Source organism: Homo sapiens, chromosome 14, assembly GCF_000001405.40.
Source record: "Homo sapiens chromosome 14, GRCh38.p14 Primary Assembly".
NCBI classification, from domain to species: domain Eukaryota; kingdom Metazoa; phylum Chordata; class Mammalia; order Primates; family Hominidae; genus Homo; species Homo sapiens.
In genome coordinates this window covers 105961039-105981647 of record NC_000014.9, presented here as the reverse complement: position 1 = coordinate 105981647, position 20609 = coordinate 105961039, and the positions used below count along the sequence as shown (strand labels likewise).

General features: G+C 46.8%; 2 pseudogenes and 1 further gene across 1 annotated transcript, besides 1 other annotated feature; all 3 read left to right on the top strand.

The window, feature by feature from the left end:
* The window catches only part of IGH (immunoglobulin heavy locus), a 1293408-nt gene that overhangs the window by 898197 nt on the left and 374602 nt on the right, over positions 1–20609 (top strand).
* Positions 618–1817: an enhancer, noted in NCBI's record as "P300/CBP strongly-dependent group 1 enhancer chr14:106445918-106447117 (GRCh37/hg19 assembly coordinates)". NCBI's record gives its function as "activates an origin of replication core promoter dependent on BRD2, BRD4, P300/CBP, MED14 and CDK7 cofactors, with strong dependence on P300/CBP, by STARR-seq in HCT116 cells {active_cell/tissue: HCT116}" and the evidence as "EXISTENCE:reporter gene assay evidence [ECO:0000049][PMID:35650434]".
* RPS8P1 (ribosomal protein S8 pseudogene 1) lies at positions 2479–3180 on the top strand (annotated as a pseudogene).
* Positions 9379–11919, top strand: ADAM6 (ADAM metallopeptidase domain 6 (pseudogene); annotated as a pseudogene). The gene is made up of 2 exons (NR_002224.2): positions 9379–9955; positions 10654–11919. The product of NR_002224.2 is annotated as an ADAM metallopeptidase domain 6 (pseudogene) (transcript).

Genomic DNA, 20609 nt, shown 5'->3' with positions numbered 1-20609 from the left:
TGGCAGCTTGATCTTAGGCTTTCATCCTCCATAAGTGTGAGGAAATTGGTTTTGTATTGTAAGCCATCCGATCTGTGGTATTTCGTTATAAAAGCCCTATAAAATGAATACAGTAGGTAATAGGAGAGCTTCTATACATTGAAAAAGTCGGATGGCCAGAAAAACCTAGACACTCCTGTTCAGACCTGAGCAGGGTGATGGACCTGCTTTGGGACAGGAGAGGGGAAGAGATGAACCCAGCACCCAGACCCAGCTGAGCCCATTCCTCAGCAGGCCGTCCCTGGGCCGGAGCTTGCACAGGTGTGAAAGAGCCTGTCTTGGTCTTCAGGGGCTCATGGAGTTGGACGGAGAATGGTGTAGACTCAAGAACACGTCATCGGTGTGCCCGTGTTTATGTGAATGGGATGTGTTTCTAGGGTGTGCTCATCCCCAAAGAAGAATTAATCAGGTCTCTTGGGCTAGAAAGAGGTTGTGGCATTTGTGTGTATTAATAACTGTGGTCGGACAGTAAATTATGTTAAACTGCTTATGGGAAGGCACAATGGAAAGAAACACTTTGTTACAGAAGGAAAAAAAAGGTGATTATTTAAATGAGGTGCCTTTGAAGGTCACCATGCCAAGAGGAGCCCATCACATGATAGTGCTGGCTTTCATGTTCAGGAGATCAGGAGGGTCCGTCCGCTGGCTTTTATGACACCCTAGACAGAGCTGAGAGTGTAATGTATGAATGGAGGGGAAGTGGAGAGAGGGGAGGCCAAATGTTTGGTGGGAATGGAGGGTCACTATTGGAGCCATTAGGAAATACACAAGCATGAATTATGCTGGAGGACAGAACAGTGTTCCTGGGGAATATTGTGTTGCTTTGGGAGCTGCTGAACATACAGGAGTTTCACTGTTCCTAGTTCTCAAATTCTCTAGACTCTCTTGACAACCCAGTTTTAAATATTGGGAATATAGGTAAGACACATTCGTTATTAAAAATTATTAAGAGAAGATGTAGGAAGAAATTTAAAGTAATCCATTTGGTTATGAAAATTTAGTTACAGCGAACTGTGATGTCCGTTTCTTACTTGGAATAATGGAATGTAAGTCATTAGTCATCTCAACGGTTCATTTTTCCATAACCATCAATTACAAAACTGCTGAGTAATTTCCTGAATTGCCCACCATAGAAACTGACCTCACATTTCCTCAATGAGAAACTGCCAGTCCCGTTGATCCAGCCTCGTTCTTCCCATCAGGGATTTTGTATCTCTGTGGACGTGTGGCACAGTGCTGCATATCCATCGGCATATGGCCTCAGGAAAGGCGCCAGCCTATCCATGCATGATGAAGCTTACTTAGGGGATGAAGCCCGCATGCTGGGTGAGCCAGTGCCGACAGCTGAAAGAATCAACTGCCTGGTGTATGATGCTTTTATGAAAACAAGCCCAGGGCCTCTTGCATTCTTCTGTATTAGATTCTCTGGTGAAGATTTTTATTCATTTCTGCCTGAAATTGCCACATATAATTACCTAGAAGCATTACAATAAACTGATTTGGAAGTTAACTGACTTCCTGGTGAGGTTAAAATGAGTGTCAGGTGCATAGTGAGACAGACCGGAGACATGGATGCATAGCAAACTTGTGCTCACCATGGTTTCTATCTTAGTTAGGGAAACTTCTGTACCTTCCTTAGATGTTCAGGCACTCCATTGAGGACCCTGGCATAACATTATTTATTGACAGACCATAGCTCAAAGTATAGAACTGGATACTACCAAGGAGGATATACTATTACTATTTTATCTTTATCTTAAAATATACTCTTCCATCTGAGGTGAAAATTAATCCAGATGGTAGAACTTATTGCAGTTACTACAGCATTTTAGCAAATCAAAAGCCGCAGAACAAACATATGGACAGATGGCAGGTATGTTTTCGGAATCGTAAACAAGTTCGTGATGACTGTAAAACCAAGGGGTGTCTCACGAGGGCTGGAAACCTCTCACAATGAAACAACACAATGAGGATCTTTGAAAAGTACTCTGACCTCCTGGTGAGCTGGCTGATACGGAGGCTGAGCTCCATGTAGAAAGCCAAAGGAATTTCTGCAGGACGTCATCATGCCAAGCACAGCCGTAACCTGGGTCCCAGCCCTTTTCACACGCTCAATGGTTAGATCTTGGGAGGGAATCAAAGAAGCCATAGTAAAATATCAAAATTTAAACCCCGATTTTGAATTTAAAAAGTGTTAAAATATGGTTGTGGCCTACACTCAGAAAATCTGTGTCCTTCAGATGGTTTCTCAGTGGCACCAGATGGTTTCAAGTGGCTATTCATTAAGTTTCTCAGTGAAATTACCAGACATAGAATAAATAAATTGTCACTGTCTTAAATCAACCCATGGGAAAGGAAAACTGTGTAAATACAGCAGAGAGGAAACATTGCTCAAGGGAAAAACAATCTCCAGAAAGTATTGTTAAAGAAACAGAGGCCCTCTTTCCAGCCAGCGCCGAGCGATGGGCACCTCTCGGGACAACTGGCACAAGGGCCGCAAAGCTGGGGGCAAGAGATGGCCCTGCCACAAGAAGCGGAAGTATGAGTTGGGGCGCCCAGCTGCCAACAGCAAGACTGACCCGTGCCGCATCCACACAGTCCGTGTGCGAGGAGGTAACAAGAAATACTGTGCCCCGAGGCTGGACGTGGGGAATTTCTCCTGGGGCTCAGAATGCTGCGCTGGTGAAACAAGGGTCATCGATGTTGTCTACAATGCATCCAATAACGAGCTGGTTCGTACCAAGACCGTGGTGAAGAATTGCATCGTGCTCATCGACAGCACGCCCTACCGACAGTGGTACGAGTCCCACTGTGCACTGCCCCTGGGCCGCAAGAAGGGAGCCAAGCTGACTCCTGAGGAAGAAGAGATTTTAAACAAAAAACGATCTAAAAAAATTCAGAAGAAATATGATGAAAGGAAGAAGAATGCCAAAATGAGCAGTCTCCTGGGGGAGCAGTTCCAGCAGGGCAAGCTTCTTGCGTGCATGGCTTCAAGGCCGGGACAGTGTGGCCGAGCAGATGGCTATGTGCTAGAGGGCAAAGAGTTGGAGTTCTATCTTAGGAAAATCAAGGCCCAGAAAGGCAAATAAATCCTTGTTTTGTCTTCACCCATGTAATAAAGGTGTTTATTGTTTTGTTCCCAAAAAAAAAAAGAAAGAAAAAGAAACAGAGGCATCACACTTACTAGAAAAACATATTCTATTTCATATATTATGGGGATATGACGTGATGTTTTGACGTATGCGGGCATTGTGAAATTATTAAATCAAGTAAATAAACATGTCCATCACCTCACATACTTATTTTTTATGGTGTAAACGTGTAAAATCTACTCTCTTATCAGTTTTCAAGTATATAGTACATTAGTATCATGGAAGTCACCATGCTGTGCAATAGATCTTCAAACGAATTCCTTCTATCTAACCAAAACTCTGTACCCTTTCACCAACGTCTCAGCTTTCACATGCCCCTGACGCCAGCCCCTGGTAGGCACCATTCTACTCTCTACTTCTCTGAGTTCAACATTTTTAGATTGCATGTGTAAGCAAGATCATGGAGTAATTTTTTATACCTGGCTTATTTCACTCAACATAAAGAGTCAAATGCTCAACATCACTAATCATCAGGGAAATGCAAATTAAAACCATGATAAGATATCACCTCACACATGTTACAATGGCTTAGTCTCAGTCTGTCTTTTTGTTACTATAACCGAATACCAGAGACTGGGCAATTTCTAAAGAAAAGGAATTTATGCTTTATGGTGCTTGAGTCAGAGAAGTCTAATATCAAGACACTGGCATCTCACAAGGGACTTCTCACTGCCTCATCTCACAGCAGAGGTGGGTGAGCAAGAGACCATTTGTCCACGAGAGAAAGGAGACCATCTTTTATTAGAAATTCACTCCTATAATAACTAACCCACTCCATTGATAGTGACAGTAATCCATTCATGAGGACAGAGCCTTCATGACTTGATCACATAATAAAGGTCCCACCTCTCAACACTGTTGCATTAAAGATTATTTCCAGATCCTAAACTTTGGGAGACACATTTAAACCATAGCATTCCATTCCTAATATCAAAATTTATGTCCTTATCACAATGCAAATTACATTCATTCCATCCCAATTGTCTCCAAAGTCTTATCCAGCATCAGTGCAAAAGTCTGAAGTCCAAAGTCTCATCTAAATCAGATATGAGTGTGACTCGAGGCACAATTTAGCCTGATATAAATTGTTTCCATCTGCGAGCCTATAAAGTCAAAACAAGTTATCTACTTTCAAATACAGTGAACAATGGGGCAGGTATGGGATAGAAATTCCCATTCCAAAGCTCAGAGAGAGGCAAGGAGAAAGCGGTGCCTAGTTCAAAACCCAACAGGGAAAAAAACATTAAGTCTTATAGCTGGAAAATCATCCTCTTTAACGGCATCTTGTGCACACTGGGGAGGGGGATGGGCCCCCAAGGCCTCCGGCAGTCTTGCCTCTATATATTTTCTGGGTTCAGTCCACTCAGCCGCTCTCACAGGTGGGACTCTCAGGCCTCTAGCTCTCCTAGGCTGACTGGAAACTCTTTGTGGTACCTCCAAACCCACATTTCTGCTTGGCATTGTGCTAAGGGCCCAGTGTGGTGACTCTGTCTCTGCAACAAGTCACTGCCCGAGACCTTAGGCTGTCCTTAGGCTGCCCGAGACCTTAGGCCGTCCACAGCATTCTTTGAAATCTAGGTGGAGAAAGCCATGCCCTCGTGGTTCTTGTATTCTGCACACCTGCAGAATTAACAACACATGGATGCCATGGAAGTTGATGACTTGTACCATTAAAGTGATGGCTTGAGCCACACCTAGGTCCTCCTGAGCCACAGCATGGGCAGCCAAGGAGTGCTGTGCCTGGACACCGGGAACAGAGTCCTAAAGTGCCTGCTAGAAGTGAGGCCATAGATTTCCTTCAAATTTCTCCCACCATATAACCTCGTTCATGGCTCTGAACTTCCACCTTACAGAAGGACCTAGGGATGAACACAATTCAGCCACGTTCTTTGCCACTTTATGGCAAGGATGGCCTTTGCTCCATTTTCCGATGAGCTATTCTTCTTTTTCTCCTGAGACCTCATCAGAACGGCCTTTATTGTCCACATTTCTACTGACATCTAATGGTCATCACCTAAATAATCTCTAAGAAGTTTCAGAATTTCCTCACAGCTCTCTTCTTCTGAGTCCTCAAAAGAATCACCTCTAGTGTTCTATTCAGGGCAATCCAGACTTTTTATAGTCTGATCCTCCAAATTATTCCAGTCTTTGTGCATTACTACATCCACTTCTACATTTTGGGGTATTTGTTATCGCAACAGCCCCACCTCTTGATACTGATTTTTCGTCTTAGTCCACTTTGTGGTGCAATGAGTGAATACCACACACTGGCTAAAGTATAAGGAAAAGGAATTTATTTTCTCGCAGCTCTAGAGGCTGGGAAGTCAATATCAAGGTGTTAGCATCTGGCAAGAGCCTTCTTGCTGTGATGTCCATGTGGAAGGCAGGAGAGCAGGTGCGAAGGATGGAAAGGGGTTTAAACTCATTTTTTAATGAGGAACCCAGGCCTGTAGTAACTAATCTGCTACCACAATGAGTAACCTACTCTGACGATAATGGCATTCATTGCTTCATGAGGGCAGAGCCCTCATGACCTAATCATTTCTTAACATTCCCACCTCTGGACACTATGGAATTTGGGATTAAGTTTCCAATACACATCCTTTCTAAACAGCAGGGGCTTTTTAATAGGTTGACCACCCAAGGCTGCAGGAGGCTCTGAAGCAGTGGCCTGAGGTTGGCTGTCCTTTGTGAGAATGGAGAGAAGTGAACTGACTCATGGAGACACAAGTAGATGAGGTAAAGGCATTCATTGCTTCATTACATGGATGGTGAGGTCGATTGAAGGCATTAACGGATTAAAGATGGTGGCAAAACCGTCTGAGGTGGAGACCACGGGGAGTCCATCAGAAATGGAGGACACGTCCCAATAAATGGTGCTTCATTTCCCTGCAAAGCAGATGAAAGCAAAGAACAAAACACAACATCATAGTGTACACTGAGCAGTGGATTGAGAGAAGAGTTTCCTAAGGCATAACTGACAGAGTGGAGAAGACACACAAATCTTTGCATGATGCTAACATTTGGACTGTGGCTTCATTATTTCTTATTAATATTTTACTGAAATATCGCTAGAAGGAGACTGAAAATGAAGTGTGAAAAGTTAAATGGGATTTCTGCTCTATGTCCTTTTCAGATGAGAGGAACTAGGGAATTCCAGGGAAGAAACAATAATAGCTGCTGAGCAAGGCTTTTGCAGGGCAGGACAAGGAATCCCCAAAGAGAAAACGGAAACCTCAGCTTCACTTTGCATCTGCTCCTGAGCCAGGTCCTGAGCGACCCCTGTAGGTCCTGAGTGCCCCTCCGTAGGTTCTGAGCATCCCTTGGTTGCTGGGCGCCCTCTGGTGGTGTCTGAGCCCCTCTGGTGGTTTCTGAGCCCCCCCGCCTTATGTCTGATCCTCCCTGGTGGTGTCCGAGTGCCCCTGCTAGTGTCTGAGCCCCCTGGTGGTGTCTGAGTCCCCTTCTTAGTGTCTGAGCCACCCTATTAGTGTCTGAGGACCCCTGATGGTGTCTGAGCCCCCAGTTAGTGTCTGAGCCACCCTATTAGTGTCTGAGCCCCCCTGGTGGTGTCTGAGCACAGGAGAGCTCCTCTGAAGGAAGGGTCTACATGGGGACAGGCGTGCTTGTCTCAGGGAAGGGTCCATGTGGGGACAGGTGTGCTTGTCTGAAGGAAGGTTCCACATGGAGACAGGTGTGCTTGTCTCAGGGAAGGGTCCACATGGGGACAGGTGAGCTTGTCTGAGGGGACAGAAGTGCTTGTCTCAAGGAAGGGTCCTCATGTGGACAGGTGAGCTCTTTTGAGGGAAGGGTTGACCTGGGGACAGGCATGCTTGTCTGAGGTAAGGGTCCTCCTGGGGACAGGTGTGCTTCTCTCAGGGAAGGGTCCACGTGGGGACAGAGGTGCTTGTCTAAGGCAAGAATCCAAGTAGGGACAGGTGAGCTCGTCTCAGGGAAGGGTCCAGGTGGGGACAGTTGTGCTCATCTGAGAGAAGCGTCGAAGTGGGGACAGGTGTGCTTGTCTCAAGGAAGGGTCCATGTGGGGACAGGTGTGCTAGTATCAAGAAAGGGTCCACATAGGGACAGGTGTGCTTCTCTCAGGGAAGGGTGCATGTGGGGACAGGTGTGCACATCGGAGAGAATGGTCCACCTGGGGACAGGTGTTCTTGCCTCAGGGAAGAGTCCACCTTCTCAGGGAAGAAGTGTGCTCCTCTGAGGGAAGGGTGCACATGGGGACAGGTGTGCTTGTCTCAGGGAAGGGTCCATGTGGGAACAGGTGAGCTCATCTGAGGGAAGAGTCCACGTGGGGACAGGTGAGCTCATCTGAGGGAAGGGTCCACATGGGGACAAGTGACCTCGTCTGAGGGAAGGGTCCACGTGGGGACAGGTGAGCTCGTCTGAAGGAAGGGTCCACTTGGGGACCGGTGTGCTCCTCTGAGGGAAGGGTCCACGTGGGGACAGGTGTGCTCCTCTGGAGGGAAGGGTCCACGTGGGGACAGGTGAGTTCATCTGAAGGAAGGGTCCACATGGGGACAGTTATGCTCCTCTGAGGGAAGGGTCCATGTGGGGACAGGTGTGCTTGTCTCAGGGAAAGGTCCACGTGGGGACAGGTGTGCTCACCTTGGGGAAGAGGACAGATGAGCTCATCTCAGGGAAGGGGCCATGTGGGGACAGGACCAAGGGTTGGGACTTCAGCACAAGAATTTAGGAGGAACACAGTCTTCCCTAGCAGCCTCCTTCAGGGATGTCAAATATTTTCCTTCTGTTCCCTGTGAAAGCCTTAAAGGGGTAGGGAAAGGGCGTTCAACCTGCACACTCGTAGAGGGGAAACCAGCTTCATTAGTAATCGTTCATCTGTGGTAAAAAGGCAGGATTTGAAGCGATGGAAGATGGGAGTACGGGGCGTTGGAAGACAAAGTGCCACACAGCGCAGCCTTCGAAACACACCACGGTCACGTTAAGTTTAAATGGAGTGACCACATTCGCCAGGAAAGGGAAATATTTACACTTTTGAAGAAACAGTAATTTGTGTTTCTGATTATGATCTGGCCTTGGATTTTCCCTCCCCTCATAAGCAATGACAGAATTGGCAGAAATATGTGAAACGTTAGTTCTCAGACATGAGACACCCACAGAGGGCCCCCTGTGCCCTTCCCTGAGAGCTGATCAGCTCCTGCATCTGAAGAAATGACCAAAGACCAGGAGAGAACCACACAGAAGCATCGGAGGGACAGCACCTGGGGCTCTGATGGGGTCAGGAATAGCATCTGTTCCCAATAGATGGACTAAGTAAAAAGTATCATAATTCACAAGAGTTTTACATAGCACAGAAGAAAAAGTTACCCTATATCAACTGTTGATCTTGTGAATCCAGGAACTCTGGATTCAAGGTGGTCGGGCACATCTTGATTTACGCATTTCAGGGACACATGAGACATCAGTCAATATAAGTAAGAAGGACATTAGTTCCATCCAGAAAGGCTGAGACAACTCAAAGCAAGTCCTCCCCACTTAGGGCTTCCAGGTCACAGGTAGGTGAGAGACAGATGGTTGCATTCTTTTGAGTTTCTGATAAGTGTTTGCAAAGGAGGCCATGAGGATATGCACCTGTCTCTGTGAGCAGAGGGACAACTTTAAATAGACTGGGAGGCAGATTTGTCCTGAGTGGTTTCCAGCTTGACGGGGCCCAAGATATTTTCCTTTCACAATCTGGTAACTTCAAACAAAACTTCAAAGCCACAACAAAACAACACAACAACAAAAAGAATAAGACATGGGTACTTATTAAGAGTAGAAAAACATTCAGTCCCCAAGGAAAATATTGGCAGTGTCTACCTCCACATGACAAAGGAGTAAGCAGTGTGAGCCACAGAAAGGAGCACTATTAACCCACAGAGCAACCGAGAATAACACGGGTGATGCAAGGGCATTGGACGCACATCATTGCATTTTGTAGATTCAGAAAGAAACGGAAAAGATTGACGGTGGTAAAAGAGACAGCCCTGCTTCCCTCTCCCTTTTCCCTCCCCGATGAGGCCTCACAGCCATGACCCTCAGCCTCATCCCGCAGTGCAGCAGCTGCCGTCCTGTCCAGGCCCACCCCCTGCCCCGCCCTGGGACTGTTACCTCATTCCCTCCCGGAGTCCAGGTGCCCCCCGGGGTGTGGTGCGGGAGCCTGGGGAGGCCCTTTGTTCTCTGTCAGGGTCTCCCTGGGAGGGACGCAGCCACCGCAGCTGGTTGGGGCCTGGCTTCGCCCAGGACAGTCCTTTCCTTTCCCATTGTCTTTGGATGACTATCGCTGGGCTGGGACATGAGGCGGGCAGAGGCGCGGGTCACCCTTAGGACCCCCCTCTTGCTGCTGGGGCTCTGGGCGCTCCTGGCTCCGGTCCGGTGTTCTCAAGGCCGTCCCTTGTGGCACTACGCCTCCTCCGAGGTGGTGATTCCCAGGAAGGAGACACACCATAGCAAAGGCCTTCAGTTTCCCGGCTGGCTGTCCTACAGCCTGTGTTTTGGGGTCAAAGACACGTCATTCACATGCGGAGGAAACACCTTCTTTGGCCTAGACATCTGCTGGTGACAACTCAGGATGACCAAGGAGTCTTGCAGATGGGTGACCCCTACATCCCTCCAGACTGCTAGTACCTCGGCTACCTGGAGGAGGTGCCTCTGTCCATGGTCACCGTCGACACGTGCTATGGGGACCTCAGAGGCATCATGAGGCTGGACGACCTTGCGTACGAAATCAAACCCCTCCAGGATTCCCGCAGGTTTGAACATGTTGTTTTTCAGATAGTGGCCGAGCCCAACGCAACAGGGCCCACATTTAGAGATGATGACAATGAGACAGACCCCCTGTTCTCTGAAGCAAATGACAGCATGAATCCCAGGATATCTAATTCGCTGTATAGTTCTCATAGAGGCAATATAAAAGGCCACGTTCAATGTTCCAATTCATATTATCGCATATATGGCAATATTACAACTTGTTCCAAAGAGGTGGTCCAGATGTTCAGTCTCATTGACAGCATTGCTCAAAATATTGATCTGCGGTACTATATTTATCTTTTGACCATATATAATAATCGTGACCCAGCCCCTGTGAATGAATATCGAATTCAGAGTGCAATGTTTACCTATTTTAAAACAACTTTTTTTGATACTTTTCATGTTCATTCATCCACACTACTTATTAAATACGTGCCACATGAATCTAACTATGAACCTGAAAGGTATAACTTCTGTTCCCGTATAGCCCTGTTACACATTGGTACTCCAGGCAGACATTATTTATTGGTAGCCGTCATAATAACCCAGACACAGATGAGAAGTATTGGTCTGGAGTATGATGATAACTACTGCACATGTCAGAGAAGGGCCTCCTGCATTATGCAGCGATTTCCTGGGATGACAGATGCGTTCAGTAACTGTTCTTATGGACATGCACAAAATTGTTTTATACATTCAGGCCAGTGTGTTTTTGAAACACTTGCTCCTGTGTATAACGAAACCATGACAACGGTTCGCTGTGGAAACCTCATAGTGGAGGGGAGGGAGGAATGTGACTGTGGCTCCTTCAAGCAGTGTTATGCCAGTTATTGCTGCCAAAGTGACTGTCACTTAACACCGGGGAGCATCTGCCATATAGGAGAGTGCTGTACAAACTGCAGCTTCTCCCCACCAGGGACTCTCTGCAGACCTATCCAAAATATATGTGACCTTCCAGAGTACTGTCACGGGACCACCGTGACATGTCCCGCAAACGTTTATACGCAAGATGGAACCCCGTGCACTGAAGAAGGCTACTGCTATCGTGGGAACTGCACTGATCGCAATGTGCTCTGCAAGGCGATCTTTGGTGTCAGTGCTGAGGATGCTCCCGAGGTCTGCTATGACATAAATCTTGAAAGCTACCGATTTGGACATTGTATTAGACAACAAACATATCTCAGCTACCAGGCTTGTGCAGGAATAGATAAGTTTTGTGGAAGACTGCAGTGTACCAATGTGACCCATCTTCCCCGGCTGCAGGAACGTGTTTCATTCCATCACTCAGTGAGAGGAGGGTTTCAGTGTTTTGGACTGGATGAACACCATGCAACAGACACGACTGATGTTGGGCGTGTGATAGATGGCACTCCTTGTGTTCATGGAAACTTCTGTAATAACACCCAGTGCAATGTGACTATCACTTCACTGGGCTACAACTGCCACCCTCAGAAGTGCGGTCATAGAGGAGTCTGCAACAACAGAAGGAACTGCCATTGCCATATAGGCTGGGATCCTCCACTGTGCCTAAGAAGAGGTGCTGGTGGGAGTGTCAACAGCGGGCCACCTCCAAAAAGAACACGTTCCGTCAAACAAAGCCAGCAATCAGTGATGTATCTGAGAGTGGTCTTTGGTCGTATTTACGCCTTCATAATTGCACTGCTCTTTGGGACAGCCAAAAATGTGCGAACTATCAGGACCACCACCGTTAAGGAAGGGACAGTTACTAACCCTGAATAACACTAATTCAGCCTCCCGATCCCTGTAAAGATACAGAGAATATAACAGCAAAATCTATGAAACAGGATCAGGGGAAGGGATGGCAAAGCTCAAGTCCACATTTCTTGAAGTCCACAGGAAGCACAGGGTCCTGTTTCACATCACAGGGAAACGGGAGGCATTGGCTTCTGTCCCAGGTTCTTGTAGGTCGCTGATGCTCACTCTGAAATAAATCTTCAAAAACACATTGGTGCCTTCCACATTTTCTTAGACTCCTCTGGGAGCCCAAACTTGGCCAGAACCTCTTGCCTGGAGAGACATGAATGAGCATCTGGCTCTTGACCTGAGGTCTCTGGTCCCAGAATTAACGGAAGTTGCCACCAGCTCCTTACAGGGAACATTCATGACATTTCTCCAGAAGAGAGCTCCAGAGCAATGAGCTTCCTCATTCCCCAGGTAATCTGTCCTTCTCTAAACCCGAAGTCAGTTTAGGGTGATCCAGGGCTACTCCCTGTTCCCTGTCTGTTCCTCACGGGGGTGCTGTGGGCTTTTCAGTGAGAGGGACTTGGGTTCAAATCCCCCACCAAGCAAATCCCCCTACCTGGGGCCGAGCTTCCCGTATGTGGGAAAATGAATCCCTGAGGTCGATTGCTGCATGCAATGAAATTCAACTAGAAAAATAGGTAGACGTGAGGGGCAAGCTGTCTGTCATTTAGTGTGAGCTCTGTGAGTGGCAGCTGCCCCCTTTCTTCCTGCCCCCACATTTCCTTGAACTGAAACAGGAAGGGAAGCTGAGTAAGTCGTGATGAGGAAGAGAAACCAGGCTTGTAGCAGCACAGGCTGGTCCGGGTGGAAAACAGGGCTAGGTGTATCACTGAGTTATTGTAAAGGAAAATGGAAGTTAAATGTATAAATAACTGAATGAGATAACATTTTATTTTAACTTAAAATTCACACTAATATTGACTTTTAAAATGCAGTGTAGATATGTCAGAGAGAATTTCAAAGGCAAAGCCCACCGACGGAAGAAATCACCCTTCCCATACCATCCACAGAAAACTGTTGGTATTCTAGGGTAGTACTGAGATCTAGCATTTTTCTGAATACATCCGTGGTTCTAGATGTCCTGCTTCCATAGATATTGTTTAGAATTCCCACCCCTTTCTCCAAACACAGCTTGATATCCTTTCTCTGAACCTGTTAGAAATTTCCTCCATTCAGCTGTCATAAAGATGCGAGCAATCCATTCCTGTGCCTCTGTCAGTGTGTTCTATTATTTTGTGGGTGAACGCTAATGGACAGTTAAGTGTGAGGTCAGTGAATACAGTGCCCTCCCTCTATGTGTCCTTCGGGTGTGAGGGGTTTTGCTGATAGAGCAGCAGGCCCCATCCCACCCTTTATGCATCTCCGCCCCCCACCTCACGCTCCAGCTGACCTCTCCCCTGTGGCCTGGGGCGTTCCCCAGGGGGAATGACCTCTCCTCTCTCCAGGGCCCACCCACTCAGTGCCCGTGCAAGACCACCACGCTTGGCACGGCCCCACCTCGCGTCAGGGCCTGTGTCCCCTGCCCCACCCCCTAAACAGATGGGAACCACTGGGACTCTGCTCAGGGCAGGGGGCGGAGGTATGTGTGAAAGGAAGGCAAATGTGCACTCTGTTGGAGAAATATTATAGGTAGTTTGAGCAAAAAATCTAATGCCATGTGAACTTTTAGAATGATACGTATTTTAACAAAGAACATGACCAATAGAGTTTGTATTGAAGCCAGGAAAACACTATTTAGAGCAACAGCAATATCAAAAACACAAGCCAACAGTTCACCAAGAAAAACCACCATTAACCCCATGGAAATGGTCTTCCAAGAGCATCGGCACTTAAATCCTCGAAATCTGCCTGCCTCAGCACCTGTTGTCCTGACCTGCCCTCCTGTGTGTCCTAATCACTCCCAAACACGGGGCCTGCACTGTGGGAGATTCACGCTGTGCCAGGTGGAGGGAGCAGGACAACTGCTAACAGGTTGTTGGTGTGGATGCCGAGGCCACCCAAGCAGGTGTAAACTCCCACCTGTGGGCCAGGGAAGAGTGCACGGGAGACATGTCCCGGGCATAGGGTGAGGGAGAGCTGTGGGGGCTCTGGGTTCTGAAGTGGGTTCTGAAGAGGGTTCTGGCCTGGCAGGGATAAGACCAACCAGCATGTGAGGCCAGGCTGGAGTCTGGACCTCTGAAGCTGCAAGGGTCATGGGCTGCTTGGCCCCAGGGGCTGTCCTGGTTCTCTATGGAGTACTTTCAAACATTCTTTCTTCTTCCAATCCCCCTCCTTCTCTCCCAAAGCCTGCATCTCCCAAATCCTCTTTGTCGGATCCTCGGCTTCACTCTGCATCCGTCCTGAGCATCGATCTTCCAATTCCATCCTCTTCTCTTCTGCTATGTCTAAGCTGCTGTGAAGCCACCTGCTGTAATTTACTGCTTTATATTTAATATTGTACCGTACATCTGTTCTGTTTCCCTCATCATAAATGCTTCATTTCATGCTCAGCATCTGAGAACACAAGGCCTTGTCAGCTGTCACCTCCTTCCGTTCTCTGTTTCCTTCCTCCTATCCCCATATTGCTCATCATGTCCAGTCTCCTGCCATCCTGAATGCTTCTGATGGAAGGTCTGAGATGTCTCATGAGCACTGTGAAGATTCTTTGTAATGTGACCTTGTTCCAGGCAGGAATTCTCCTTCACCCAGCCCTGGAAGCCAAGTATAGGCAGATGGCCATGCTCAATCAAAGACTGAGCTAACTTAACAGTGGCTTTGGTTTTAAGGTTTCTCCAATCCCCAGGGCACAGGATTTCAGGGAATTCAGGTGAGAGTCTGGGTGTTACCCTTCAGGAGGCTGTAAACTCCATTTCACCTAGTCTACACCACAGACTATGGAAACTATATATATATATAGTTCTGTCCCTCTAGAGAAACCTAATATGTATATATACAATATATAATACGTATTATATATTATATATAATATATATATATATTAGAGTTTATTGAGGAGTATTAAACTCACAATCACAAGGTCCCACAGTAGGCCATCTGCAAGCTGAGGAGCAAGGAAGCCAGTCCGAGTCCCAAAGCTGAAGAATTTGAAGTCTGATGTTCGACGGCAGGAAGCATCCAGCACAGGAGAAAGATGTAGGCTGGGAGGCTAAGCCAGTCTAGTCTTTTCACGTTTTTCTGCCTGCTTTATATCCTGGCCACACTGGCAGCTGATTAGATGGTGCCCACCTAGATTAAGGGTGGGTCTGCCTTTCCCAGTTTACTGGCTCAAATGTTAATCTCCTTTGGCAACACCCTCACAGACACACCCAGGATCAATACTTTGCATGCTTCAATCCAATCAAGTTGACACTCAGTATCAACCATCACAAGTCCACCCCTTGTCAACTTGAACCCATACAAATCTCCTGAGATCATACATAATCTTCAAATAAAGACAATAATAAGGTCATAATTACACCTAATGTAATACAACTATCTTTTGTACAACCAGAAATGCACCAATCCCCAACCCAAATGCTATTATGTAAAGTTAAGAACACTTAAATGCTGATATGAAGTCAATAAATTTTATGTCACATGATAAAGGAAAAAAGAAATGAAGGAATTTTCTTAGTACAAGTGTGTACATGCACAAACATGTTTTTAACAAAAGAAGAAGGAAATACTGATGACAATTACGGTCCTCATTTCTGCAACTGATCACGTGGTTGTAGCTGGTATTGATGACTACCTTCTTCTACTACCCATTCTGTATTCCCTTTGCCTTCAGCAAGCATCACAGCAGGTAGAGTTTTTTCTCCTAGTGGAGTGATGCAAACCTTCATTCCTGAAGGGTCTGGGCCATTTGTAGTCCTGCCTGGATTGGGCTGTTGTAGTTTCCCGTTGACCTTAATGACAGGGCATGGTAATGTTAAGAGACGCCCTAATGGATCTCCTGTATTCCATACATATTCTTCCTTGCCTCCATTGTGGAGTAATAGACTGATTGCATCTTGATAGTCCAGGTCAATCAGCCCAGCCAACACTGTAACTCCCCTCTTAGCCTGTGGACTTAAAGGTAGGAGGGGCCCAAAGTGGCCAGGTGGAAATCTTTACTTCCAGTTTAATGGAATTGTTGTTGTTTCTCCTGATGGCAGCATTATTCCCACTGGAACTAAGACCTCTAGGCCAACAGAATGTAATGTCATGGGACCAGGAAGCAAAAATTTTGCTAGTGGATCACTAGGGGTGATGGTGAATGGTGCCATTTCCACTTCCACCCCTTGATTCCTGGATCCATGAATTATGGCTATGGGAGAAAGAGTACCATATATTGGATGCTGATTTGGAGCATACATGGCCTTTTGGAGAGCTTTGCCCCAGCCCTGCAAAGTATTGGAGCCTAGTTGACATTGTAATTGTGACTTTGAAAGGCCATTCCATTCTTCTATCAATCCAGCTGCTTCAGGATGATGGGGAAAATGGTAAGACAAGTGAATCCCATGAGCATGAGCCCACTGCCACACTTCTTTAGCCGTAAAGGGAGTGCCTTGGTCAGAGGCAATGCTATGTGGAATACTGTGACAGTGGATAAGGCATTCCATGACTCCACAGATGGTAGTCTTGGCAGAAGCATTGCATGCATATCTGCAGTAAGTGTCTATTTCAGTGAGGACAAACCTCTGCCCTTTCCAGGATGGAAGAGGTCCAATATAATCCAACCTGCCATCAGGTAGCTCACTGATCACCCTGAGGAATGGTGTCATTTGGGTAGAGACCCAGAGCCAAACCAGATCACGCCACCCAACCCCTCCCAAATCTCATGTCCTCTTTGCATTTCAAAACCAATCATGCCTTCCCAACAGTCCCCCAACATCTTAACTCATTTCAGTATTAACTCAAAAGTCCAAATCCAAAGTCACATTGGAGACAAGGCAAGTCCCTTTCATCTATGAACCTGTAAAATGAAAAACAAGTCAGTTACTTCCAAGACAAAATGGGGGTACAGGCATTAGATACATGCTCCCATTTCAGTTGGGAGAAATGAGCCAGAATAAAGGGGCTTCAGGTCACATGCAAGCCCAAACTCCAGTGGGGCAGTCATTAAATCTTAAAGCTTCAAAATAATCTCCTTTGACTCCATTCCTCACATTCAGGGCATGCTTATGCAAAGTGGGGGCTCCTACAACCTTGGGAAGCTCTCACCCTGTGGCTTTGCAGCTCTGACCCCATGGCTGCTCTCATGGGCTTTGCAGAGTTCAGCCCTCCTGGCTGCTCTCATTGAGTGCATGCAGCTTTTCCAGGTGCACAGTGCAAGCCGTTAATGGATCTACCATTCTGGGGTCTGAAAGATGGTGGCCCTCTTCTCACAGCCCCATTAGTCACTGTCTCCAGTGGGGACTCTGTGTGGGGGCTCCAACCCCACATTTCCCTTCTGCACTGCCCTAGCAGAGGCTCTCCATGAAGGCTTTGCCCCTGGCGCAGACTTCTGGCTGGACATCCAGTCATTTCTATAAATCCTCTGAGATCTGGGTGGAGGATCACAAAGCTGAACTCTTCTCTTCCGCACATCCCTAGGCCCAACATCATGTAGAAGCCACCAATGATTGGGGCTTTCTGAAGCAATGGCCTGAGCTGTACATTGGACTTTTTTAGCCACAGCTAGACCTGGAGCAGCTGGGACACAGGGCACCAAGTCCCAAGGCTCCAAAGAGAAGCTGGGCCCTGGACCCAGCCCATGAAAACATTTTTCCCTGATAGGCCTCCAGGCCTGTGATTGGAAGGGCTGCTGCAAAGATCTCCGACATGCCCTGGAAACATTTTCCCCATTGTCTTGATTATTAATATTCATCTCTTCATTACTTATGCAAATTTCTGCAGCCAACTTGAATTTCTCCCTAGCAAATGTGTTTTTCTTTACTACCACATGGCCAGGCTGCAAATTTTCCAAACTTTTATGCTCTGTTTCCCTTTTAAACATAAGTTCCTATTTCAGATCATCTCTCTCAAGGGCAAAGTTCCACAGATTTCTAGGGCAGGGACAAAATTCCATCAAGCTTGGTTTTATACATTTTAGAGAGGCATGAGACATCAATCAAATACATTTAAGAGACACATTGGTTTGGTCCAGAAAGGTGGAACAACTCAAAGCTAGGGCTTCCAGGCTATAGGTGAATTTAAATATTTTCTGGTTGACAATTGGTTGAGTTTGTCTAAAGACCTGGGATAGATAGAAAGGTAATGTTCAGGTTAAGATAAAGATTGTAGAGTCCAAAGTTCTTTTGAAGTCTTATAGTGGCTGCCCTTAGAGATAATAGGTGACAAATGTTTCCTATTCAAATCTTAGTTGAACTCTTTAGGATTGGGAGGTTCTAGAAGAAAAAGATCTAGCTATGTTAATAGAGATTCTTTACAGATGCAAATTTTCCCCCACAAAGAACAGCTTTGCAGGGCCCTTTCTTTCTTTCTTTCTTTCTTTCTTTCTTTCTTTCTTTCTTTCTTTCTTTCTTTCTTTCTTTTTTAGATGGAGTTTTGCTCTTGTTGCCCAGGCTAGAGTATAATGGCACGATCTTGTCTCACCACAACCTCCACCTCCTGGGTTCAAGTAATTCTCCTGCCTCAGTCTCCCGAGTAGCTATGATTACAGGCATGCACCACCACACCCGGCTAATTCTGTATTTTTAGTAGACACAGGGTTTCTCCATGTTGGTGAGGCTGGTCTCGAACTCCCAACCTCAGGTGATCCGCCCACCTCAGCCTCCCAAAGTGCTGGGATTACAGGCATGAGCCACCATGCCCGGCCTGCAGGGCCATCTCAGAGTATGGCAAAGAAACATGTTTTGGGGTAAAATATTTTGATTTTCTTATTTGTCTTATAATGTTATGCCAGAGTCAGTTTGGAAAGTAAATCATGATATATAGGTTTAAATAAAACCCATCTGATGAGAATTTATGATTTGTAGAGCATGCCTCCCCAGACTCTTTAGATAGGAATTTGGGCAAGATGAAAAAAAAATCAGAGTTTAGTCCTCACTACCTAAGACCAGCTCAGCTTGGACTTCACTGTTCATGTCACTATCAGCATTTTAGTCAAAACCACTCAATAAGTCTCTAGGAAGTTCCAAACTTTCCCACATCTTCCCTTCTCCTTTCAAGTTCTCCAAACTGTTCCAACCGCTGCCAGGAGGTACCCAGTTCCAAAGTTGCTTCCAGATTTTGAGTTATCTTTATAGCAGTTCCCCACTCCTGGTACCAATTTACTATATTAGTCTGTTTCCACAGTGCTATAAAGAACTGCCCGAAAGTGGTTAATTTGTAAAGAAAAGAGGTTTAATTGACTCACAGTGCTGTGTGGTTAGGGTCGGAGGCTCAGGAAACTTGCAATCATGGTGGAAGTGGAAGCAGGCATGTGACACATGGCAGCAGGTGAGAGAGAGAAAGAGAGAGAGAGGGAATGAAGGAGGAACCACCATACATGGATAAAACCATCAGATCTCATGAGAACTCACTCACTATCAGGAGAACATGAGGACAGCATGGGGGAAACCACCCCCATGACCCAGTCACCTCCCACCAGGTCCACCCCTTGACACATAAGGATTACTATTTGAGATGAGATTTGTTTAATGACACAGAGCCAAACCACATCAGCATGTGACAAAGGTCTAATATCAAGAATCTATGAGGGGGCAGTTCCAAAATGGCTGAATAGGAACAGCTCCAGTCTACAGCTCCCAGCATGAGCTACACAGAAGACAGGTGATTTCTGCATTTCCAACTGAGGTACTGGGTTCATCTCACGGGGGCTTGTTGGACAGTGGGGGCAGGACAGTGGGTGCAGCCCACCAAGAGTGAGCTGAAGCAGGGTGAGGCATTGCCTAACCCAGGAAGTGCAAGGGGTCAGGGAATTCCCGTTCCTAGCCAAGGGAAGCGGTGATGGACGGCACCTGGAAAATCCGGTCACTCCCACCCTAATACTGCACTTTTCCAACGGTCTTAGCAAATGGCACACCAGGAGATTATATCCTATGCCTGGCTTGGAGGTTCCCATGCCCACGGAGCCTCGCTTATTGCTAGCACAGCAGTCTGAGATCAAACTGCAAGGTGGCAGTGAGGCTGGGGGAGGGGTGCCCACAATTGCTGAGGCTTGAGTAAGTAAACAAAGTGGCTGGGAAGCTCAAACTGGGTGGAGTCCACTGCAGCTCAAGGAGACCTGTCTGCCTCTGTAGACTCCACCTCTGGGGGCAGGGCATAGCTGAACAAAAGGCAGCAGAAACCTCTGCAGACTTAAATGTCCCTGTCTGACAGCTTTGAAGAGAGTAGTGTTTCTCCCACATGGACTTTGAGATCTGAGAATGGACAGACTGCCTCCTCAAGTGGGTCCCTGACCCCCGAGTAGCCTAACTGGGAGGCACCCTCCAGTAGGGGCAGACTGACACCTTACACGGCTGGGTGCCCCTCTGAGATGAAGCTTCCAGAGGAATTATCAGGCAGCAACATTTGCTGTTCAGCAATATTCGCTGTTCTGCAGCCTCTGCTGCTGATACCCAGGAAAATAGGGTCTGCAGTAGACCTCCAGCAAACTCCAACAGACCTGCAGCTGAGGGTCCTGACTGTCAGAAGGAAAACTAACAAACAGAAAGGACATCCACATGAAAACCCCATCTGTACATCACCATTATCAAAGACAAAAGGTAGATAAAACCACAAAGATGGGGAAAAAACAGGGCAGAAAAGCTGAAAATTCTAAAAATCAAAGTGCCTCTCCCCCTCCAAAGGAATGCAGCTCCTCGCCAGCAATGGAACAAAGCTGGATGGAGAATGACTTTGATGAGTTGAGAGAAGGTTTCAGATGATCAAACTTCTCCGAGCTAAAGGAGGAAGTTGGAACCCATTGCAAAGAAGCTAAAAACC